Source organism: Homo sapiens, chromosome X, assembly GCF_000001405.40.
Source record: "Homo sapiens chromosome X, GRCh38.p14 Primary Assembly".
NCBI lineage: Eukaryota > Metazoa > Chordata > Mammalia > Primates > Hominidae > Homo > Homo sapiens.
In genome coordinates, this window is record NC_000023.11 from 27,146,040 (window position 1) to 27,171,846 (window position 25,807).

The following is a 25,807-nucleotide window of genomic DNA, read 5'->3' on the forward strand; positions in this document are numbered from 1 at the left end:
AAACACTACCATACCACTAGAGGATTTCAGAAATTAGTACTACCTTAAAAATCTTCAAAGGTACAGTGCCAGGGCTTTTCATTTCACTCACATATTGTGCAGTGCAGAAGACACATGAGTCTCAAGGAACGACTGTAAATCATTATAAATTTAATCATAGGGTGATGCCAGCTGTTGCTCCAATTAAGGTATTTTTACTAGAACATATTGACATTGATACTGGCAACTGGTACAGAGTTACTAATCTAGCAAACACTTCCTTTTCAGTGCAAATTAGTAAATAAAATCCAAAGTTGTTTGCTTTTTTTGGGGCAAGAGAAGCAGTACACATTCTGTCTTCTATAAGGATCATATAAACCCTTATGCACTTGCTTGAAATATAATGCACAGGGACTGTAATTTTATTCATGTCCCACAAACCATCACTCTGGTTATTACACTGATTAAGCTAATTGAACCTGGGTGGCCAGGAAGTAGCCAGAGCCCTGGATGCCAAAATATGAACATATAATCCTTGGAAAGTTCATGGGTCACACCACTAAATTTACTAGATTTCCAGTCATCTAGGGCACATTGAAATATCACATCTAAAGTAAGAAATATCCCTGATCAACATCGATGCAAAAATCCTCAATAAAATACTGGCAAACCAAATCCGGCAGCACATCAAAAAGCTTATCCAGCATGATCAAGTGGGCTTCATCCCCGGGATGCAAGGCTGGTTCAACACACACAAATCAATAAATGTAATCCATCATATAAAGAGAACCAAATACAAAAACCACATGATTATCTCAATAGATGCAGAAAAGGCCTTGGACAAAATTCAACAACACTTCATGCTAAAAACTCTCAATAAATTAGGTATTGATGGGATGTATCTCAAAATAATAAGAGCTATTTATGACAGACCCATAGCCAATATCATACTGAATGGACAAAAACTGGAAGCATTCCCTTTGAAAACGGGCACAAGACAGGGATGCCCTCTCTCACCACTCCTATTCAACATAGTGTTGGAAGTTCTGAACAGGGCAATCAGGCAGAAGAAAGAAATAAAGGGTATTCAATTAGGAAAAGAGGAAGTCAAATTGTCCCTGCTTGCAGATGACATGATTGTATATTTAGAAAACCCCATTGTCTCAGCCCAAAATCTCCTTAAGCTGATAAGCAACTTCAGCAAAGTCTCAGGATACAAAATCAATGCACAAAAATCACAAGCATTCCTATACACTAATAACAGACAAACAGAGAGAGCCAAATCATGAGTGAACTCCCATTCACAATTGCTTCAAAGAGAATAAAATACCTAGGAATCCAACTTAAAAGGGATGTGAAGGACCTCTTCAAGGAGAACTACAAACCACTGCTCAATGAAATAAAAGAGGACACAAACAAATGGAAGAACATTCCATGCTCATGGATAGGAAGAATCAATATCATGAAAATGGCCGTACTGCCCAAGGTAATTTATAGATTCAATGCCATCCCCATCAAGCTACCAATGACTTTCTTCACAGAATTGGAAAAAACTACTTTAAAGTTCATATGGAACCAAAAAAGAGCCCGCATTGCCAAGACAAACCTAAGCCAAAAGAACAAAGCTGGAGGCATCATGCTACCTGACTTCAAACTATACTACAAGGCTACAGTAACCAAAACAGCATGGTACCGGTACCAAAACAGAGATATAGATCAATGGAACAAAACAGAGCCCTCAGAAATAACGCCACATATCTACAACTATCCGATCTTTGACAAACCTGAGAAAAACAAGCAATGGGGAAAGGATTCCCTATTTAATAAATGGTGTTGGGAAAACTGGCTAGCCATATGTAGAAAGCTGAAACTGGGTCCCTTCCTTACACCTTATACAAAAATTAATTCAAGATGGAATAAAGAATTAAACGTTAGACCTAAAACCATAAGAACCCTAGAAGAAAGTAATTTTATTTTGAAAAAGAGTAAAGGGGATTAGCATATAGTGGTTACTGTTTCCAAGTATATACAATTAATTTATGGATAAGAACGGTAATGGCTGACATAAAAAATAATGAAATCATGTCTTTTGTAATAACAGGAATGGAACTGGAGGACATTATTTTAAGTGAAATAACTCAGAAGCAGAAAGTCAAATACTGCATGTTTTCACTTACAAGCGGGAATGAAACAATGTGTACACATGAACGTAGAATGTGGAATAATAGAAATTGGAGACTCAAAAAGTGGGAGGGTGGGAGGTAGATGAAGGATTAGAAATTACTTAATGGGTGGTACAATGTACACTGTTCAGGCGATAGTTACACTAGAATTTCAGACTTCATTATTATACAATATATCCATGTAACAAAATGGATATGTTGTATATGTGCACTTGTACCTCTGAAATCCATACAAATTTTTTAAAAATTGACTTTTTTTTTTTGATACCGAGTTTCACTCTTGTTGCCCAGGCTGGAGTGCAATGGCGCAATCTTGGCTCACCGCAACCTCTGCCTCCCTAGTTCAAGCGATTCTCCTGCCTCAGCCTCCAGAGTAGCTGGGATTACAGGCATGCACCACCACGCCCAGTTAATTTTGTATTTTTATTAGAGACAGGGTTTCTCCATGTTGGTCAGGCTGGTCTTGAACTCCCGACCTCAGGTGATCCGCCCGCCTCGGCCTCCCAAAGTGCTGGAATTACAGGCGTGAGCCACGGCATCTGGTCAAAAATTTAACTTTTTAAAAAAGAATGATAAAGTATACAAGTAGAGAGGGTTCTTAGTACCCACCATCACCCTTATGCCCAGCAAGGGAATTTTTTTAGTCCATTTCTTTCCATAAGTGTACCTGAGAGAGTGGTACATGAGTGTGGACTTGGAATAGGAAAATCACTATCATAGTTACATAATTACAGACTCCAGCTTGCCAGACATCAGCTTTCTCTGGCAAAAAACAACCCCTGAAAAATAAAATCAGATTTTCTTTTATTTAGTTAACTTTAGGTGCTCTCTTAGGTGGTAATAACTGAAAGAAATTTAATAGAACATGTCACTTGAATCTGAACAAATATTTGATTTCTTTTCTCAGAATCTTCACAGTAAGCCTGGAGGAGCATCCCATTTTCCTTGGTCTTTGTTACAGAGCAGGGGTAAACTCATGCTTTGATCAATACTAACTCAGGACTTGATAAAACTGCACACTATAACCTGAAAAAGGTGTCACATCTGTATTTGAATTCTTCTTTAAGATTCTTAGTACTGAGTTCATTAATTTGTTCACCAATAAATTATTAAGCACCTATCATGCGTCAGGCATTCCTTTCATCACTGGGGGTCCAGCAACAACAAATGGTGATTAAATTGTAAGAAAGCTATCCAGAAAATAAAACAAATAAGTCATATTCCATATGTTGATAAGTACGTGGAGTAAAATGAGGCAAAGGAGATTAGTAGGGAGTTTTGAGGGGTGAGATAAGGATTTCATTATTAATAAGTTAAAGAAGGTCTTACTGGGAAGATCTTATTTGAATTAAAACCTGAAAGAGGAGAGGGAGGGAACCATTTGAATATCTTTAGAAGAGCATTCCAGGGAAATATTATACAAAGGAGGTGAAGGTTGCCATTCAGGGCTGTGAGAGTGCTCAGGACACATTTGATTTACTTAAACTTTTAGCTCAGGGTAGGGTTTCTCAACTTTCTCACTATTGACATATTAGGCTAGATAATTCTTTGTTGTGGGGGGCTGTCCTGTGTGTTGTAGGATGTTAACAGCATCCTGGACTCTACCAGCTAGAAGCCAGTAGCACCCTCACAGCTAGTTGAGGCAACTAAAAATGTCTTCAGATATTGCTAAATGTCTCTTGAGGAGAAAAATTGTCCTGGTTGAGAATCACTGAATTTGAGTCAACATAAGTAACAATGACCAAATATATTTTTTTCTACTGTACGTCCATCATTTGCATGGCCTATAAAGAATAAATTCTTTGATTCTATTCTTTTGTCTCGCTACATATCAGTTCGGACTTGAGTCTAGTGGGAAGAACTTCATGACAGATGGTTTCACTGGTCCCAAGATGATATTTTTGTAGTCACTCTGTCTGTGCTCTCTGGTAGATGTTTTCTCTAGCTGTGACCACGATTCAGAGTTCAGCAGTGGCCATTAGAGTGCATTAGGCTAGACTTGTTAAATGCATATTTATTCAGGAGTAAGTGTTTTTGTAGGTCATGGAAGCTGTGACAGAAAATGTTCTGAGCAGAGCCAGAACTCTTCTCTCCACAAAGCAATGTAGTCACCCCCTAATACCTTGGAAAGCTCAGAGGCAAAATCTGGACCAACAAACTGAATACTTAAAGCAGCAGTACCTTTCACAAAGATGATTTTTAAAACTCTAAGAGATAGACCTCTAGAAGCTAACAGATATGTTGGTTTTTATAGATAACACAGAAAATTGTCCCCTGACTAACAATAATCACAATGAAAATACAAGATATACATGCCTGCACATACAAATGTTTATGGTTTCTATTAAAATTCTGATTCATTTTGTATACATATAGACAAAATAATACAGAATTTTGGTATTCTTATGTGAAACCCATCCATTTGAAAGTCATATTTGGTACATTGAAAAAAACATTCCCAGGTCACATTTAATTTGGTCATGTAGTATATTATTGCTCTCCAGAATTGGTTGTATCACCAAAACATGATACCTCCGCTTTCTCCCCCAACTGCCAAATCTGGCATTATCCAGCTTTCCAAATGTTGCCAATCTAATATTATTACAAGGGACTATTAATTTGTTGTTGTTTTAATTAACATTTTTGTGATTAGCTGTAATTTTGAGCAGTTTTATAAATGCTATATTCACTTTCTAAATTTCCTGTTCTGTAAATTGCTCATGTATCTATTAGAGATTATGTGTTTTTCTTGTTGATTTGTAGCAGTTTCTTATATAATTTAAATACTAATTACTCGTCTATTTTAGACATTACAAATATCATCTGTTCAATCATTCCTCAAAAACTGTGTCCATGGTTACTGTCACTGAACAGAAATCTTTACCTGTGATGTAATAAACATTACTGGAAATTTTACTTTCTTTGCATCTTGTTCTATAAACATGCAATAATCACCTAAGTGCTGAATTCTGGAGAAGAGGTTCTCAGATAACTTAGTCCCACTCACCTAGGGGTCACTAGTTTAGGAGAAAGAAGCATAATTGTAAATAAAGGAAAATTAAATTTAAGAAATGTCAAAACACTGAAATGAGAACATAGGAATTTGAAAAACATGTATTAATGAGGACTAGCTTTGCTGAAATCATGAGTTTAGGAAGAAAAAAAAAGTTTCTCCCATTTCTTATGAGAAAAGGAGTCAGTCTTTTCACCCTTCTCTTGGCTATGCCCTGGAATTTTCTAGGTGTTTTCCTAGTGGAAATGTCAACTCCTTAATGTTTATTAATAAGTGCATTTATTGAGACAGACTTCGTTTTAGAAGCCAGTGATGTGGATATGACTAAGAATCATATCCTGCCTTAAGAAGGCTACAGAATAAAAACAAAAATCTAGATACCCTTCATTCACATCAGCATATGGGCATCCTGAACCATCTTGTATTCAAACAATTTAACTCTGAAATTAAGTAGTTCTGCTTTCCGGATTGCATTCTGCATATTTTAGCATCACCACTTATGACAATTGTTCATTTAAGTTCTATTTACTATGCTTGTTTCATTTAATGTAGCTGAGTCCCATAGGTAGATGGTGCAAATATATTTAGGGAGTTGAGAAAAGGCAGATAATAAGCTGGATGAGTCGATAAAGACTTTGAAGCAGAGTATTAATGCAATCAGATTTTCATTTTAAAGTGATTATTGAAACTACAGTGTGAGGAATGTATTGGGCTTATTTGGTTGTTGGGGTAGTAGATAAGATCAATGTAGGACAGCAGACATGAATGTGTGTTAGAAATGCAAATGAAAGGCAAAGGTGGCCTTTACTGTGGAAACATTAGCATGATGGAGCAAAGTTCATAAAGAGACTATTGATTAGAAGGAAGAGTTCACATAAATTTTAAAGATCCATTAATAATTTGTCTAGTGTTGGGGTGGGCTATCATTGATGACTTTCCATTTCTGGCTTAGTCAGCTATATCAAGTATTGTCCCATGTATTAGTCTGCTCAGGCTGCCATAACAAAATACCACAGACTGAGTGGTTTAAACAACAGAAATATATTTTTTCACAGTTCTGGAGGCTGGAAATCCAAAATCAAGGTGCTGGCAGGGTTGGTTCCTGGTGAAGCCTCTGGTCCTGGTTTGTAGAAGGCCACCTCCTGTGTCCTCACTTAGCCTTTCTTTTGTGCACACATGGAGAGAAAGAGAAATCCCTGGTGTCTCTTCTTATATGGCTACCAGTCCTGTAGGTTTAGGGGCCCCACCATTATGACCTCATTTAACCTTATTGACCCCCTTAAAGGTCTTATCTCCAAATACAGTCACACTGAGGATTAAGGTTTCAATATATGAATTTTGTGGGGAGACACAAGCTAGTCTATGACTTCCTGGGTTCAGCAGACTTCTGTGACTAAATAAAATGAAAGTTCAAAAGTGTGGGATATTGTAAACATTTTATTTCAGCTTGTGAGATGTCTTTTTATTTTCTTGATGGTGTCATTGAAACAAATAGTTTTAATTTTATTAAGTCCAATTTATCCATTTTATTTAATCACTTGTGCATTTGGTTTCACAAAAAAAGAAAATTTACTAATGTAAATACAATTATGTATTGCTTAATGATGGGGACACGTTCTGGGAAATGCACCATTAGGTGGTTTCATCCTTATGTTTGCATCGTAGAGTGTACACAAACTTACACAAACATAGATGGTATATATATATATATATATATATATTTATATTTATATATATTTTTTCATAAGGAAAGCCAAATGCCCCAGAACCATTACTGAATGTCAATCATTTCCCCTACTTGATTTGACCTGTCAATATCAAGTGTCATATATTAGGTTTTTATATACATTTCATTGTAATCTTCTGGGACCACCTTTGTACATGTGGTTTATCATTGGCTGAAACACCATTTTTCTGTGTATGATTACAGTAGGTTATGATTGATATAAAGTCAGAAAACCACCTGGGTAATTCAAGTAAGTGTTACTTATATTAAGGATCCTAAGCTGAGATTATGCTGAGCTATATAAAGTAGAAAACTTCAATAACAGTGGATTAAAATTTTTTTTTTTTCAGGAATCTGATGGGTTTAGAAGATTTCCAAAACTGCCAAAAGCACTCTTTAACCAACTCAGATAATGGATTTGCTGACTGGTTGTGAGAAGAGCCCTTGGCCGCATTTTCCAGATAGTCATCTAGAACCCAAAACAAAGACCTGTTTAGTTACCAAGCCCATGACACCAGAAAGTTTTGGCCCCTTATTTCACATTTCTAAAAGCTTCAACATAGCATTCAGAAGAATAATATCAGAAGTACCACTAATCAGGACAGTAATAAGGGAACAACCTGCTAGAATAATGCAAGGCAGGAGACTTAGGAAATATTTCAACTATGTTTATAGAAAAAAGGGTCCTAATATATAAAAATAGGTTATTTATCAACAGAACCAATAACAATAAATCCACCAGGCATGTTTTTGATCAGCTTTCTTTATGCAGCTAAAGCAGAATTGGTGATGGGATTATCTTCACTTGAAAACAAGCATGTGTTTTCATACATCCCTGCTGGGAAAATTAGGCAGTATCCATGTGACTCCAAAGGAAATATTGGAATTTCCTCAAATCCAAGGAGCACCAAGGAACTGAAATGCTGAAAGAAAGCAAGGTAGCAGATTTAGAAGAGATATTTCTACTATGTTGATAGAGTTGCCATTCAAAATATTTTTTTAAAATAGAGATTAACATATCAATGAAGCCAACATCAATCCATCAGGTATCTGAATATGGCACTCTTGTACAGCCACAGTGGAGCTAGCGATGAAATTATCTTCACATAAACCTCATCAATTGAGGCTGCAGGAAGGGCAATTCCCCCCAAAAAAGTGCAATGCAAATTAACAAAACAATGCCAGTGACTCTGAGCAGTTAAAAGTAATGAAGTCCGCTAGAGTCCATCTTTAGCACAACTTCCTAAAAACCAGTGCTGAAACTGAATTTTCAAAACAAGTAATTAACTGAAAGACCAATTTACAAAAGCTTACTTTGCCAAATTATCAAGTTCTATAAAACCAATGACCAAATATAAAGGCATAACAAAATGGCTATGAGAACAAGGTTCATGTCCGATATTAGTATCTGAAAATGAAAAACATTTTCTGAGTATTAAATATACTTAAAAGAAATATTTTTCCATGACAAAAAAATATAGGATATATATGTATGTATTTGCTTGTTTTCTTCTCAAATTGTATTTCTGGTATATCTTCTTTTTGAAATATTTTAGATTTCAAATATAATATAATTTTAACCTATCTTTTTAAAACATTTTGTAAGTTTGCATATGCATTATTAATATATATTGACTTTCAGAAACTAAGCATATGATTCAGACTTATTTTTAACAGATTAATTTATCTTCTGCAAAATTTTGAATCTTTCTGAAAATTGCTGCCAAACTATGTATTTCCATGATTTTTTTCTAAACAATCAAAATTTTAGCATTTCCTAATGACTGAAGAGTTAAAACAAATTATAGAGTTTTTGTATGATTTTGGTTGTATGATCAACTTATTAATTTAATGGTAATTCTAATTTCATATAAGAATACATGCACTTTAACTATTTTTCATTTAAAATTCTGCTTCCCTTTCAATGTTTTCACTTTGAATTGAATTACTTAAATTTTAAATTATGTAAAATAACTGAATTTCAACTGAAAGTATCCAAAGGAAGGCAGAATTTAATTAAACTTAATTTAAATATAAAATAAAATATACATGGTGAGTTTCCTGCTGTTCTTTCTTTCCTGACTCCAGAAACTCAAAGCATGTCATCAAGAATCTCTATTTCTGCATGTTTTTAAAGAATCTCTAGGTACCCAATTTAAATGTGTTGGTTTCTACCCAAAATAAAATAAATTATTATATCAAAAAGATACCTGCACTCATTATGTTTACTACAGCACTATTCACCATAGCAAAGATATGGTCTCACCTAAGTGTCCATCAAGGGATGACGGTATAAAGAAAATGTAGTATATATGCACAATAGAATAGTATTCAGCCATAAAAAATGAAATCACATGTTTTGCAGCAACATGAATGAACTGCAGGGCATTATCTTAAGTGAAATAACTCAGAAACAGAAAGCCAAACACTGCATGTTGTCACTTACAAGTGAGAGCTAAATAATGTGTACACATTTACACAGAGTGTGGAATAATAGACACTGGAGCCTTGGAAGGGTGGGAAGGTGGGACGTATGTGAAGGTTGAGAAATTATTTAATGGGTACACTGTACACTATTCAGTGATGGTTACACTAAAAGCCCAGACTTCACTACTGTGCAATATATCCATGTATCAAAACTGTACTTGTACCCCCTAAATTTACACAAATAAAAATAAATAAGGAAATTTGTTTAATTCTCAGATAATCTGCCTTTAAATGAGAGCCCTAGATGCTCACTCAGTGGTTTTCAAAGTGTGTTCCCCAAACTAGCAGCATCAACATCACCTATGCACGAGTTAGAAATGCAAATTCCCAGGCCTTAGCCCAGAGATATTGAATTAATAAATCTGGGGGTAGAGGAGGGTTCCAACGACCTCTATTTAAACTAGTTTTGAAGGTGATTATGATGCATACTAACATTTGAAAACCACCAAAATTGTATGTAAGACAGCACTTACGGAGCATTTTTGATATAAGAAAATCCTCTCTTCACCAATGAAGTTTCTGAAACTCCAAAGCAGTGACTTACTCCCATCATTTTATGAGCATTGAGTGTGCATGCAGAAACTCCCACACGCAAGACTTCCTTCAGCTCTCTCTAGGTTTGTGACCTCCTTGTTCTCAGAGAATACTATTACAGTGGAAATCTCTGGTAAGGTATTGGACCCAACACTTAAGCAGGTATCTTTGGACAAGTGGATAATCTTCTCAGGAGCCTCGGTTATTTTAGAGGCTCAAGGTCTACTCACTGTATATGCCATGAATTTACTGCCATGCTAATTTTGATGGGGGAAATCATTCTAAGCCTCCTTGCATTTAGTTTGAGTCAAGGATAACACAACCTTCTTCTTTTCTCATGAGATTGGAGAAAATGGCGGCGACAATAACAATTTCAAATTGTCTTCCCTCCTTTAACCACCTCAAATATTTTAATTCATTCAGACGAGCCTTGGACCAACAACTGCGGAACAAATTTGAGTCCAGTGCCTCTGCAAGATCATCCAGCACCTCACTTTAAAATATGTGTGTTGTTGGGGTGGGGGCAATTCTTGGCATCTGTAGTTTTGGCTTTTGGAATGCTCACATCAGAGAAAACATTGCTTCCAACATCCAGTTCAATGCTGGTTTTCAGGGATATGTCTGACCCATAGCACCCTCACTCACAACACAACACCTTTAGTTATAGGCATAATAGTTGCATGTTACAGCCTCCCAGAGAGGTGAGGAGACAGGCCTGAAGCAACCACAAAGCAGTAGTGGCTGCATACTGCTGTGGGGTCACAATCACCCTCAATGAGAGGTTTATCTGCCCTGAAGGATATGGAGCTGACACTTGCATCTTGCTTGAAACCTCCAACTCATCCTTCTAAAGAGTAGAAGTGAGAGGTGACAGCGTGCTGGCAGTCCTCACAGACCTCACTCACTCTTGGCGCCTCCTCTGCCTGGGCTCCCACTTTGGCGGCACTTGAGGAGCCCTTCAGCCCACCGCTACACTGTGGGAGCCCCTTTCTGGGCTGGCCAAGGCCAGAGCCGGCTCCCTCAGCTTACAGGGAGGTGTGGAGGGAGAGGCGCGAGCGGGAACCGGGGCTGCGTGCAGGGCTTGCGGGCCAGCTGGAGTTCCGGGTGGGCATGGGCTTGGCGGGCCTGCACTCGGAGCAGCCAGCCGGCCCTGCCGGCCCCAGGCAGTGAGGGACTTGGCACCCGGGCCAGCGGCTGCAGAGGGTGTACTGGGTCCCCCAGCAGTGCCAGCCCACCGGTGCTGCGCTTGATTTCTCGCCAAGCCTTAGCTGCCTTCCCATGGGGCAGGCCTCCGGACTGCAGCCTGCCATGCCTGAGCCTTCCCCCGCCTCCATGGGTTCCTGTGCAGCCCGAGCCTCCCCGACGAATGCCGCCCCCTGCTCCACGGTGCCCAGTCCCATCGACCGCCCAAGCGCTGAGGAGTACGAGTGCACGGCGTGGGACTGGCAGGCAGCTCCACCTGCAGCCCCAGTGCGGGATCCACTGGGTGAAGCCAGCTGGGCTCCTGAGTCTGGTGGGGACATGGAGAGTCTTTACATCTAGCTCAGGGATTGTAAACACACCAATCAGCACCCTGTGTCTAGCTCAGGGTTTGTGAGTGCACCAATCAACACTCTGTATCTAGCTGCTCTGGTGGGGCCTTGGAGAACCTTTATGTCTAGCTCAGGGATTGTAAATACACCAATCGACACTCTGTATCTAGCTCAAGGTTTGTAAACACACCAATCAGCACCCTGTGTTTAGCTCAAGGTTTGTGAGTGCACCAATCGACACTCTGTATCTAGCTGCTCTGGTGGGGCCTTGGAGAACCTTTATGTCTAGCTCAGGGATTGTAAATACACCAATCAGCACTCTGTATCTAGCTCAAGGTTTGTAAACACACCAATCAGCACCCTGTGTTTAGCTCAAGGTTTGCGAGTGCACCAATCGACACTCTGTATCTAGCTGCTCTGGTGGGGCCTTGGAGAACCTTTATGTCTAGCTCAGGGATTGTAAATACACCAATCGGCACTCTGTATCTAGCTCAAGGTTTGTAAACACACCAATCAGCACCCTGTGTTTAGTTCAAGGTTTGCGAGTGCACCAATCAACACTCTGTATCTAGCTGCTCTGGTGGGGCCTTGGAGAACCTTTATGTCTAGCTCAAGGATTGTAAATACACCAATCGGCACTCTGTGTCTAGCTTAGGGTTTGTGAGTGCACCAATCGACACTCTGTGACTAGCTGCTCTGGTGGGGCCTTGGAGAACCTTTATGTCTAGCTCAGGGATTGTAAATACACCAATCGACACTCTGTATCCAGCTCAAGGTTTGTAAACACACCAATCAGCACCCTGTGTTTAGCTCAAGGTTTGCGAATGCACCAATCGACACTCTGTATCTAGCTGCTCTGGTGGGGCCTTGGAGAACCTTTGTGTCCATACTCTGTATCTAACTAATCTGATGGGGACGTGGAGAACCTTTATATCTAGCTCAGGGATTGTAAACCCACCAATCAGCACCCTGTCAAAACAGACCACTTGGCTTTACCAATCAGTGGGATGTGGGTGGGGCTAGATAAGAGAATAAAAGCAGGCTGCCCGAGCCAGTAGTGGCAACCCACTCGGGTCCCCTTCCACACTGTGGAAGCTTTGTTCTTTCGCTCTTTGCAATAAATCTTGCTGCTGCCCACTCTTTGGGTCCACACTGCTTTTATGAGCTGTAACACTCACCACGAAAGTCTGCAGCTTCACTCCTGAAGCCAGCGAGACCACAAGCCCACCGGGAAGAATGAACAACTCCAGACGCGCCGCCTTAAGAGCTGTAACACTCACTGCGAAGATCTGCAGCTTCACTCCTGAGCCAGCGAGACCACGAACCCACCAGAAGGAAGAAATTCCGAACACATCCGAACATCAGAAAGAACAAACTCCAGACGCGCCACCTTAAGAGCTGTAACACTCACCGCGAGGGTCTGCCGCTTCATTCTTGAAGTCAGTGAGACCAAGAACCCACCAATTCCGGACACAGAAGTTTGGAGTTCAGCTCTTCTTGGTTACAATCTGAGTTCTGTCTCTTACTGACTCTGAGACCTCTGAAAAGTCACTTATTCTGAATGTCACAAGGCACATTTCAATAACTTTCTCATGCAGTAAAGCTGAAATGAGATGACAAATATAAAGCTTTAGTACAACTCCTGCTACTTGACAAGGTCAGCTCTCAGTGTTAGCTACAGTAAGCAAAGGTCAGACTCAGTCTAAAGTGTTCACAAAACAGAAGGTGGGGCTAGAGCAGTGGTTCACAAAATGTCATCCCCAAGCAGCAGCAGTACTACAGCCTAGGATCTGCATAGAAATGCAACTTCCCAGATGCCCACCCAGAGCCACCTTTAGGATCTCAACTTTTAAGATCTGAGAACTCTATCCTCAAGAAAGACAAAAAGAAAAAAAAACCTAAAACTTTTTATGGTTCTCACTCAGCAGAGCAGCCTCCGCACTGGCATACTCAGGTCTGTCCTGAACTTAGGGCTGTTGTTCCCTGAGGATGGCCCCTGATCAGCATCACCTGTGCACTTGGTAGCTTTGCAAATTATCAGCCGCACCTATCCAAATCTACATAATCTGAACTTTAAGGTTGGAGGCCTAGCAGTGTGGATTTAAGAATTGCTCCAGGAATCCCAATGTTTCCAAAGGGTGAGGATGATAATCTTTGAACCAATGGTTTTCCATATTTCCTTGAAAATAGAATCCTCACCAGATAATTTTAAAACTTCAGAAACAAGGTTTTATTATAAGAGATTCTAAATAATTTGAGATGAGGTGACAACTAAACAACACGTGTTTTCAAGCCCCTTTAGGGGGTCCAATGTGCAATAATTTTGAGAAACACTGCTTTAGGTTCATCTTGCCCAACATTACCAAACGCAGTGGAAAAGTTTTTGCCTTCTAAGAAATCCCAAGAAAATACCTTCCATTGCCCTAACATGGATTATATGTCACCCCAACTTGACACACTTTCCCCAGGAGAGTAGAAAATTCACTGATGACGCCCAGGCACTCTCACCCTTGGCATATGAGGAGTGGATAGCTGCAATTAAAATACTTGGAATGAAACTGGGGGTGGAAGGTGGTGTGAGAGTTTCCTGAAAGGGGAATAGAAATTTCAAAGTTGGACAGTGTGAAGAGCAAACAACAGTTACATTAGATTACTTAATACTTTGGGAAGAATTTTTACAGTATGTTTTTTGTTAGTATTTTCTAGTTTGACAGTTTTTTAAGCATATTTTTTTCAGGAATTATTAAAGGTTGTATTGGCCTTTTCTTTAATTCATGCAGTAAATACTAATTTTTTTTTTTTTGAGACAGAGTCTCGCTGTCTCCCAGGCTGGAGTGCAGTGGCACAATCTCAGCTCACTGCAAGCTCCACCCTCCGGGTTCACGCCATTCTCCTGCCTCAGCCTCCCGAGTAGCTGGGACTACAGGTGCCCACCACCACGCCCAGCTAATTTCTTTTTTGTATTTTTAGTAGAGATGGGGTTTCACTGTGTTCGCCAGGATGGTCTCGATCTCCTGACCTCGTGATCCGCCCGCCTCAGCCTCTCAAAGTGCTGGGATTACAGGCGTGAGCCACTGCACCCAGCCAATCCTAAATTGTTTTCTAGGAAAATTTCCTTTTTGTTTTTCTGAATTATCAATATAGAGTTACATTAGTAATTCTCACAATGGTCAACTACTTAAATATGCTGGTAACATTTTAATATAAACACATGTTTATTTTGGTTAATCTAAAATTTGTAATATTTGATGTATATGCAGAAGGTTTGACTCTTTTCTCACTTAAGCAATGAAAAAATCATCATCCCACAAATTTAAAAGATTACTCAGAAATTCCCAAAATCATTTAAGTAGACAAACTAAGAACTAATGCATGGTTCTATTAGAAAGTAATCAAAATTAAATATTCTAATAGTTATCCCTTTATAAACTGTGCTGTAAAGGTTGTAATGCAACAGGTCAGAGTTGGTGAAAGACTGTATCATTCAAAAGTTGAAGACTGGCCCTTCACTGGCTCCTAAAAGGAAGGCCCTGAGCCTTTGAAATTTGTCTGATTAGAAAGTTTTCATCCATCTGAGGCTTTGGATACACCAGATGGTTCATACTAACAATGAGAATTATGGTGCATGTCTATTTTTATATGAATGAAGCAGTGGCCAAGTTATGTCAGTTAGACATCAAGATGGTCAAAAGCTAAAGATAATTATGTGGACATTCCATGCTTACATGACCAGTGCTCGGGAGTGCTTATCTAGTTGGCAACACTTGGCACAGGTGGTCACACACCTGGCTGGGAGAAATAAGCACAATGCATGTGACTCCACTGGAAGAGGATGGCTGGAAACTTGACCCTAAAGTTTCTTGGACTCAGCCCTGTGCTCTGTTTCCACTGGCTAATTTTCATCTCTGTTCTTGTACTGCAATATACTGTAAGCACCAGTAGAATGGCCTTTTTGAGTTATGTCGAGGCCCTCTAACGAACCATGGAACCTGAGGCTGGCCTTAAAGTACACCAGCAGGCCCACTGATAAATGGTATGCCCTCCTTTAGCTAACTCCAATAACAAGGGGATTACTGAGTGTGTGTGGAGGAGTTCTCACTTAAAACCCAGAAAGTCACCTTCCATCCTGAAATAAATCTGCTGTGATATTCCTGAGCTCATATTCCTTCTACAACCTGCCATCGGAGAACAAAATTTTGTTTCCACACAGCAGGGCAGCAGCAAGGAATTTACCTTGGGCAACAAAGCAAAGCAGCAGGGTTAGAAAGGATATTTCAACTATATTAAGAGAGTGTGGATTCACTACTTCAGAAAGATAGAGTTTTATATCTCAAATAAGCCAATATCAATTGGTATCAATAGAGCTGGACTTCATAGGAGCACTTTCACCTGGCTGGAAGAAAGCAGACAGCTATCTCCCTCTTGCCTGAGTTTAGAGAAAATATGGAACATGCGGACACTTTCTCAAAATAGTCTTTTCTCCTTTTACCACCTCAGCTTGTTTGCATCACTCATTTGAGTGATGCACCAATGCTTGCAGAACCAATTTGTGTCTAGGGTCTCTGTAAGATCATCGAACACCTCACCTTAGAATATAGGGGTTCTTGGCATTTATGGAGTTGGCCTTTTCAGTCTCTAACTGAACTCTCACGTGAGAGAAAATGTTGCTTTCAACATCCAGCTCAGTGCAGGTTTTGAAGGGAATGTCTGACCCACAGCACCCTCACTCACAACACTATAATTGAAAGCACTACGGGTGCATGGTACATCTCCCTGAGAGGTGAGGAGACAGGCCTGGAATGACTAGAAAGCAGTAGTGGTTGCATTCTGCTCAGGGCTCCAATTTACCCTCAAAAAGAGGTTCAACTGCCCAGAAGGACATGAGGCTGGCTCTTCCATCTAGCTTGAAACCTCCAATTGATCCTACCTCAGAGTACAGGTTTTGGAGTCCAACTTTTCTCAGTTGCAGTCTGAGCTCTGTCTCCAGTTAGCCCTGAGGCCTCTGGAAAGTGATTTTATTTTTTTCATCATTTCCTTGTTTTAGTTGGATAGGACATATTCAATAACTTCCCTTGAAGTGCAGCTGAAATGAGGTGAAAAATATAAAGCATTAGTACAAATCCTGTTACTCAACCTATTTACCTCACATTGTTAGCTATTGTAAGCAAAGGTCATACTCAGTCTAAAGTATCCAAAGGAAATACAGTGGGCTAGAACAATGGTTCAGAAAATGTCATCCCTAAGCAGCAGCAGAGATGTAGCCTGGGATCTCGGTAGAAATGCAATGCTTCTGGTGCCCACTCACTGAAAGGAACTTTTAAGGTCACAGTTACATGAAAAGCTATCCCTTAAAAAAAATAAAAAATAAATCTTTCATGATTCTCACTTGTTAAAATCAGAGCAGGCTCTCACTGGCATATTCAGAACTTTCCTCACAGTAGAGCTGTTTTTTCCCTAAAGGTAGCCCCTGAACAGCATCGCCTGTGCAATTGTTAGAGATGCAAATTCTCATCCCCTCCTTTGGAGACCTACATAACCCTAAACTGGAGGATGGAGTGGTACCAACGAATTTGGATTTAACAAGCCCTTTCCAGGGATCCCAATGTCTGCCAAAGTGTGAGAATAGTTATCCTTGAACCAAAGGTTTTCCATATTTGCTTAAAAATGGAACCCCCAAGCGATTCATTAAAAACAACTGCAACAAACTTTTACTGTTAGAAGTTCTAAATAATATGAGGTGAGGTGCCACCAGGAAAACAGGTCTTTTCAAGCTCCCTAACGATTCTAAGGTATAGTAAGTTTGAGAAACACTGCTCTAAGCCCAGCTTGCACAACTTTTCCAAACTCACTGGAAAACAATCTTCTCTCCCCAGAAATCTCAGGAAAAGACCTCCTGCTGACCTCACATGGATAATATGTCACTCCAACTCCAAAAACTTTCCCCACGAGGCTAGAGGAGTGATTGATGGAGCCCAGGTGTTCTCATTCCTGGCATATGAAGAGTGGTCAGCTCCAATTCAAATACTTGGAATAAAATTGGGGTGAGAATTTCCTAAAAGAGCAACTTGAAATTTGGGAACTGGACGGTGTTCAGGGCAACCGATACCCATATAATAAATTAACTGAGAAGAATATTATTGCCATGTTTTTGTTAGTATTATCCACTTTGACAGTTTTGCTTGTACTTTCAGGGATTATTATGGTTGCATTCATCTTTATTCTTATTTGTGAAAAAAATCATCGATTTTTTTAGGAAATTCCCTTTTATTTTTTTCTGAATTATAAATAAACAGCTGTATTATAATTGCCACATTTTTCAACTTCTTATCTATTCTGGCTTCAATATCTGCTTAATCATTAAAAATGCTTATTCTGTAGACTCTCATGTAAATTTCTTGTATATGCAAGATATACTTAAGATTGAAAACACAAAATGATCATACCAAATATTTAAGTTTTCCCAGATTCAAGACAATTTAAATAAAGATATAATGCCTGACAATATTAAAAAATAATGAAAGATACCTATTTTTGAGATGTAAATAATAATGAATACATGTATTTGAAAGCAATGCCAGGCAACTGGAACTTATTTAAATAAATGCAAATGTTTATGAAATAACCAAGTTAAAATACAAATATTTATAATACCTATGTTTTCATAACATTTCATAAAATATGTAGAATAAAAGATCATAGGCATAAAAGTAAAAATTTAAAAACTGTGTTTAAAAAGTCCTAATTCAGCAGACAAACATTGTTCAAATCTTGTACCCTTCCAAGGATGAAGGCTGCCCCTAAGCCCACCACTGGCAGGTAACCTTTAAGCCCATAGAATACTGTGTCTGATCAGAAAGTCATTGGGTACCTGAGGCTCTCTAATCACACCAGATGGTTCATGCTGACAATGAGAATTATGGTGAATGCTTGTTTTTGTACGACTGGAGTTGTATTCTGGCTATGTCAGTTTGACTTCTAAATGAACTAGAGAGTCAGAACTTAAAGACCATCATGTGGAAGTTCCATGCTTATATGACCAGGGCTTGAGAGAACTTACCTGGTTGGGAACACTTGGCACAGGTGGCCGCACACCTGGCTGGGAGAATTAAGTGCAGTGCACTTGACTCCACTGGAAGAGGGTGGCTGGAAGCTTGAGCCTGGTTTCTCCTGGATTCCTCCCTATGCTCCTTTTTTACTTGGTGATTTTTCATCTGTGTTCTTAAACTGTAATGTACTGTAAGCATCAGTACAAAGGCCTTTCCAAGTTGTGTTGACATCCTCTAAAATAATAATCAAACCTGTGGTAGCATTGAGGTACCCATGAATAAATGGTGTGCCATGTGGACACAGTTCTTTCCCTAACTCTAATAACATGGGAATTACTAAGTGTGTGGAACAATGCTCATGTTAACTCCCAGAGAGTCACCTTCCATCCTGAAATAAATCTGCTGTGATATCCTTGATCCCATGCTCCTTGTACAACCTGTCATCCTAGTCTCAGGGAACAAAATTTTTGTTTCTACACAGCAGGGCAGTAACAAGGAATCCACCTTCAGGAAAAATAAAAGGCAGCAGGTTTAGAAGAGATATTTCAACTATATTAAGAGTGTATAGATTCCCAATTATAAGAAGACAAAATTTTATTTATCAATGAAGCAAAGATAAATGACTATCAATAGATTTGGACTTCATGAGGGCCCCTTCTAAGCTCCTTTCACCTGAATGGAGGGAAGGAGACAGATCTCTCTCTCTCTCTCTCTCTCTCTCTCTCTCTCTCTCATGTTTACAGAAAAAGCCTGCCATGATAGCAACTCTTTTAAAAAAGTCTTACCTCCTTTCGCCACCTCAACTCTTTTATTTCACTCGGTTGAGTGATGCCTGCAGTTGAGTCAATGCCTGCAGAATCAATTTGGGTCTTGTGCCTCTGCAAGATTATCCAGTACCTCACTTTAGAATATGGGGGCTCTTGGCATTTAGGGTTTGGCCTTTGGTTCAGTCTGTGGCTAAAATCTCATGTGAAAGAACATGTTGCCTTCAACATACAGTTCAGTACAGGTTTTCAGAGGTGTATCTGACCCATTTCCCCTTCATTCTCTACACCTTAAATTATAGGCACTGTGGGTGCATAGAACACTCTTCCTGTGCAGTAAGGAGACAGGCCTGAAAGAACCACAAAGCAGTAGTGGCTGCATGCTGCTGTGGGCTCTGATTCACCCTCAAGGAGAGGTTCACCTGCCCAGTAGGACATGGCGCTGGCACCTCCATCTGGCTTGAAACTTCCAACTCATCCATTTTAAGAACACAGGGTTTGGGTCCAGCTCTTCTGTGTTCCAATATGAGCTCATTCTCCTATTGGCTCTGAGGCCTGTGAAAAGTCATCTTATTCTGATTATCATTCTATTTTTCAGTAGAAGAGAAATATTTGAATTACAGCAGTGAAACTGAAAAAAGAGATGGCAAATAAAAAGATGTAATACAACTCTTGCTACTCAACCTATCTATCTGTCATTGTTAGCTATTGTAAGCAAAGGCCAGACTCAGTCTAAAGTGCTCAATGGAAAGAAGGTGGTCTAGAAAAATGATTCACAATATGACATCCCCAAACAGCAGCAGGGATATTGCCTGGGATCTTGGTAGAAATGCAACTTCTTTGGTACCCACTAACCCAGAGGAACTTTTATGGTCTCTGTTATTTGGAAAGCTACTCCAAAAACAAACAAACAAACAAACAAAAAACCTAAATTAAAAAAAAAAAACCTAAATCAAACTAAAACCTTTCACGGTTCTCACTTATCATAATTGGAGCAGGCTATCAGCCCCTCCTTTGGAGACCTACACAATCCAAAACTGGAAGGTGGAGTAGGACCTACCAATCTGGATTTAACAAATCCTGAATGGATTCCAACTCAGCAGTGTAAGGATGATAATCCTTGAACAAATGTTTTTTCATACTTTCCCAATCATGGAATGGCAGATGATTCATTAAAAATAACTAAAACAAGGTTTTACATTCACATTCTGATAATTTGAGGCGACCTATCAAACTCTGGATAACAAGTGTTTTCAAGGTCCCTTAGCCAATCTAATGTGCAGTGTTTGAGAAACGTTGCTCTGGATCCAGCTTGTCCAAATTTACAAAGCCTACTGGAAAGTGACCTTCTCTTCCCACAAATCTCAGGAAAAGACCTTCTGCTCACCTAAAATGGGTAATATGCCATTCCTCAAGAGGAGAGGGCTAACTGATGTAACCCAGGCATTCTCATCCCTGGCATGACAGGATGCTCAATTCCAATTTAAATACTTGGAATGAAACTTGGGGCAAGAGATTCCTAAAAGGGGAATACAAAATTTGGGAATTAGACAGTGCTCAAGGCAAACAACAGCTATTCAATTAATTAACTGTTTAGGAAGAATTTTGATTGTCATATTTCTGTTCGTATTATCTAATTTGACACTTTTCTATTTGTATATTCAGGAATTATTGTGGTTGCATACATCTTTCCTCCAATTTGTGAAGTAAAATCGGAAGTTAATTTTGTAGGAAATTCTATTTAACTTTTTTCGAATTATGCTTAAAGAGTTGCCCTAGACTTGTCACATTTTATCATTTCTTAATAGTCTGGTTTCAATAACTAATCAATACAAATCCTCATTCTATATGCGCTCATGTAAAGGTCTTACATGCACAGAAGAATTGACTCTTTTTTTCATTTAAGTTTCCAATAAAAAATTTATCACACAGGAAGGGGAACATCACATTCTGGGGACTGTTGTGGGGTGGGGGGAGGGGGGAGGGATAGCTTTAGGAGATATACCTAATGCTAAATGACGAGTTAATGGGTGCAGCACACCAGCATGGCACATGTATACATATGTAACTAACCTGCACATTGTGCACATGTACCCTAAAACTTAAAGTATAATAATAACAAAATAAAATAAACCAAAAATTTATCCCATAAAATACTTACAGGATTTCCCTGTTATTCAAGTCAATTTAAGTACACAAGTTAAGAAATAATGCATGGAAATATTAGAAAATATTCAAAGATAACTATTTTGTATATGCAATTAATTCTGAATATATGTGTTTAAAAGCAAAGCCAGGCAACTGGAACTTTTAAAAATAAACACAAATAGCTGAAAAAGTGGCCAAACTAGAAAATATATATTGAAAATATATTTTTATTTATAACAAAAACATTTAAGGAAATATAAAGAATAAATGAGGATACACATAAAAATAAGAATTTATGAACTGTTTTTTAAATACTTCCAATTATAAGGCCAGGGATGCTGAAAAGCTGCACCCTCCCAGGTTTGGAGAATGGCCCTTGATCTGCTCCTGGCAGGCAACCTCTGAACCCTTTGATATTCTGTCTGATCAGGATGTCTTTGTAAACCTGAGAATATGGTCACACCAAATGATCCAGGCTGACCATATGATTTATGGTGAATGTCAGTTTTGAATGGCGCTGTGTCCAGGCAATGTCAGTTTGACTTCTACATGGCCTGGAGAGTCAGGAGTTATAGCCACTCATGCAAACATTCCATGATTACATGACCAGGGATTGGGCAAGCTTACCTAGTTGGCAACACTTGGCACATGTAGTCACACAACTAGCTGGGAGAATTAAGCACGGCACATGTGAGTCCACAGAAAGAGAATGGCTGGAAGCTTGAGCCTGGTTTCTCTGGGATTCCTCCCTATGCTCCTTTTCCACTGGATAATTTTCACCTGTGTTCTTGTACTATAATACCCTATAACTATCAATAGAAAGGTCTTTTCAAGTCCAGTTGAAACCTTCTAAGAAATCATCCAGCCTGAAGCTGGCCTTGAAGTACTCCAACAAGCCTGTGAATAAAGGTGTGCTATGTAGACATGCTACTCTACCTAACTCTAATAATATGGGAATTCTGAGTGTGTGTGAAGGAGTCTCACTGCAGCTCCAACAGAGTCCCTTTCCATTCTGAAAAAAATCTGTTGTGATATCCTTAAGGGCATGCTCCTTCTACAACCTGTCATCCTAGTCTCAGGGAACAAACTTTTTGTTTCCACACAGCAAGGCAGTAGCAAGGAATCCACCTTCAAGAACAAAGCAAGGCAGCAGGTTTAGAAGAGGTATTTCAACTACAGTAAGACTGTGTAGATTCCTAATTTTAGAAAGATAGAGCTTTATACATCAAGAAATCCAATATCAATCAATATCAATAGAGCTGGACTTCATGAAAGCAGTTTCTAAGCCACTTTCACTTGGCCTGAAGCAAAAAAAGGCATCTTTCTACCTCTCCTCTGAGTTTAAAGAATGCCTGCCACGATGGCAACTCTCTCAAGAGTCCTTTCCTCCTTTTACCACCTAATTATTTTATGTGGCTCACTTGAGTGATACGCCAATTATTGCAGAACCAATTTGGCTGCAGTGCCTTTGCAAGATCATCCAGCACCTCATTTTAGAATATGGGGGTTCTTGGCATTTATGGATTTGGCCTTTGCAGTCACTGGCCAAACTCTGTGAGAGAACATGCTGCTTTTAACATTTACCTCTATGCAGGTTTTCAGGGACATGTCTGACCGAAGCATCCTCAGTCACAACACCATAACTGAAGGCACTGCATGGTATATCTCCCTGAGAGGTGAGGAGAAGGCCTGAAACAACCAGAAAGAAGTAGTGGCTGCATACTGCTGTAGGCTCCAATTCATCCTCCAAAAGAAGTCTCCCTGCCCAGAAGGACACAGGGCTGGTACTTCCATCTGGCTTGAAACCTGCAACCTATCTTGCTTAATAGTAGAAGTTTGAAGTCCAGATCTTCCAGGTTCCAATATGAGCTATCTCTCCTATTGGCCCTGAAGCCTCCAGAATGTTATTCTGCTCACCTTTTCCCTTTTTTCGTATATAAGGCATATTTCAATAACTTTCCTGGAAGTGAAGCTGAAGTGAGATAAAAATATACAGCCTTAGTATAAATCCTGGAACTCGACATAGCTAGTTCTCTTTGATGGTTATATTTGTGAAAAGTGAGACATAGTCTAAAGTATTCAAGGGTCAGACTCAGTCCAGGGAGTGAGCTACATCAGTATTTCTCAAAATGCCATCCCCAAGCAGTAACAGTGCATTATCAAGAAATGTAACTTACTACGTCCCCACATACCCATAGTAACCTGTAAGGTCTCAGTTGCCTTAGAAATGTATCCTTAGAAAAACAAAACTTAACTAATACTTTTCATGGGTCTCTCTTTTTACACTGATAGCAGCCTCCTCACTGGCATATTCAGATCTTTCCTCAGAGTACAGCCCCAGTACCCTGAAGGTGATCCCCGACAAGCATCACCTGTATATACTTGTTAAGGATGTAAAATCTCAGCTCAACTTACCTGGACGCACCTCGTCAGCAACTCTGCGGATGGAGTAGGACCAATCTATTTGGATTTAACAAGCCTTCCACGGATCCCAATGCCTGCTAAAGTGTCAGAATATTCATACTTTAAACATTGGTTTCCAATACATCCCCCAAAATGGAATCCTCAGTAGATGGTTTAAAAACAATTGAAATAAAATTCTACTGTCAGAGATACAGATTTTTTTTGAGAGAGAGAGAGAGAGAGAGTCTTGCTCTGTTGCCCAGGCTGGAGTGCAGTGGCATGACAGGTCTCATCGCAGCCTCGACCTCCCACCTCAGGCTCTTGAGTAGCTGGGACTACAGGTGCATGCCACCTGGCTTTTCTTCTTTTCTTTTTTTTTCTTTTTTAGCAGAGACGGGGTCTCACTATGTTGCCCAGGCTGGTCTTAAACTCCTGAGCTCAGATGTTCTTCCTGCCTTGGCCTGTCAAAGTGCTGACATTACAGGTGTGAACCACAGTGCCTGTCTGACTCAAAATAATTTGACTTGAGGTATCACCTAGACAAAAGGCATTTTCAACCTCCTTTATGAATTATATAATATGCAATATATTTGAGAAATGCTGATCTAGGCTCATTTTATCCAAGGTTATCAAATTCAGTAGGAAAAGGCCCATAATTTAATGGAAATCTCAGGAAAACACCTCCCACTGACTCAGCAAAGGTTATATGTCACCTGACCTTCAAACATATTCCCCAGAAGGAGAGAATTGACGGGCAGAGTCCAGGCATTCTCAAACCCAGCATGTGAAGGCTGGTCAGCTCCAATAAGTACACCTGGAATAAAATTTGGAGTGAGAATGTCCTAAAAGTGAAAAAAAGAAATTTGGAAATCGGACAGTGTGAGGAGTATCAAAATACATTCAGTTGGTTAAATATTTGGGAAGAATTACTATTGCTATGACTTTTGTTAGTATTTTCTCTTTTGTCTGTTTTTTGGTAGTTTATATTACACTTTCAGAAAATATCAAGATTGTATTCATCATTTCTGAGAAAAATCTTAAATTTATTTTTGGGGACAAGTACCTTTTTTCCGAATCAAAGGTTTACATTAGGACTCATCACAGTTTTTAATTTTTTATGTATGCCTCTTTCAATATTTTTTAATTCATATGAATTCTTATAGTGTTTACTCTCATGTACAATTTTTTGTACATGCAGAGAACTTAATTTCTCCCTTAACTTATGAATGATAAAATTATCATCCCCGCCCCCAGTTTAAAAGTTTTCTCTGAAGTTCTATTCAATATAAGAAGACAAATTAAGAATTAATGCAAGGCTATATTAGAAAGCAATCAAAGGTAATTATTTTAATACTTTTCTATTTTTAAGCTGTGCTATAAAAACTTCTAACACAAGAGGTTAGGGTTGCTAACAGCCTGCACCTTTCAAAGTTTGAGAACTTGCCCTAGACCAGCTCCTACTGGGTAACCTGTGAGGTCTGATATTTCTGTCTGATAAGAACGCTTTGTGTACCTGTGGATTTGGTCTCACTAGATGATTCATGGTAACAATGAGATTTACGGTAAAAATGCATTTTTGTATGACTGGGGCTGTGTCCAGGCTATGTCAGTTTCACTTTTTAGATAGATTAGAGAGTCAGAAGCTAATATCAGGAATGTGAAAGCTCCATCCCTATATCAGCAAGGCTTGGAAGAGCTTACCTGGTTGGCAACACTTTGCTAATGTGGACACACACCTGGCTGAGAGAATTAAGTGCAGTGCATATGACTCTACCAGAAGAGGATGATGGAGAGCTTGAGCCTGTTTCCTCCTGGACTCCTCTCTATGCTCCTTTTACCCTGGCTGATTTTCATCTATGTTCTTGTACTGTAATGTACTGTAAGGATCAGTACAAAGGCCTCTGTGGGGTCTACTGAGATCTTATAAGGGATTATGGAACCTGAAGCTGGCTTTGAAGTACCTCAACAGGCTCATGAATAAATGATGCCCAA

At 39.3% G+C, this 25,807-nt stretch overlaps 1 long non-coding RNA gene across 1 annotated transcript in view; it reads right to left on the bottom strand.

Moving 5' to 3' along the window:
* Nucleotides 1-6,594: 6,594 nt before the first annotated feature.
* The window catches only part of LOC105373150 (uncharacterized), a 246,359-nt gene continuing 227,146 nt past the window's right edge, over nt 6,595-25,807 (bottom strand). The window contains exons 6-11 of the long non-coding RNA NR_188591.1: nt 23,828-23,913; nt 22,997-23,101; nt 20,652-20,783; nt 16,382-16,537; nt 12,866-13,057; nt 6,595-7,824 (exon numbers count right to left, since the gene is read on the bottom strand). This is a non-coding gene — a long non-coding RNA (uncharacterized LOC105373150). The remainder of the gene's footprint in view (nt 7,825-12,865; nt 13,058-16,381; nt 16,538-20,651; nt 20,784-22,996; nt 23,102-23,827; nt 23,914-25,807) is intronic.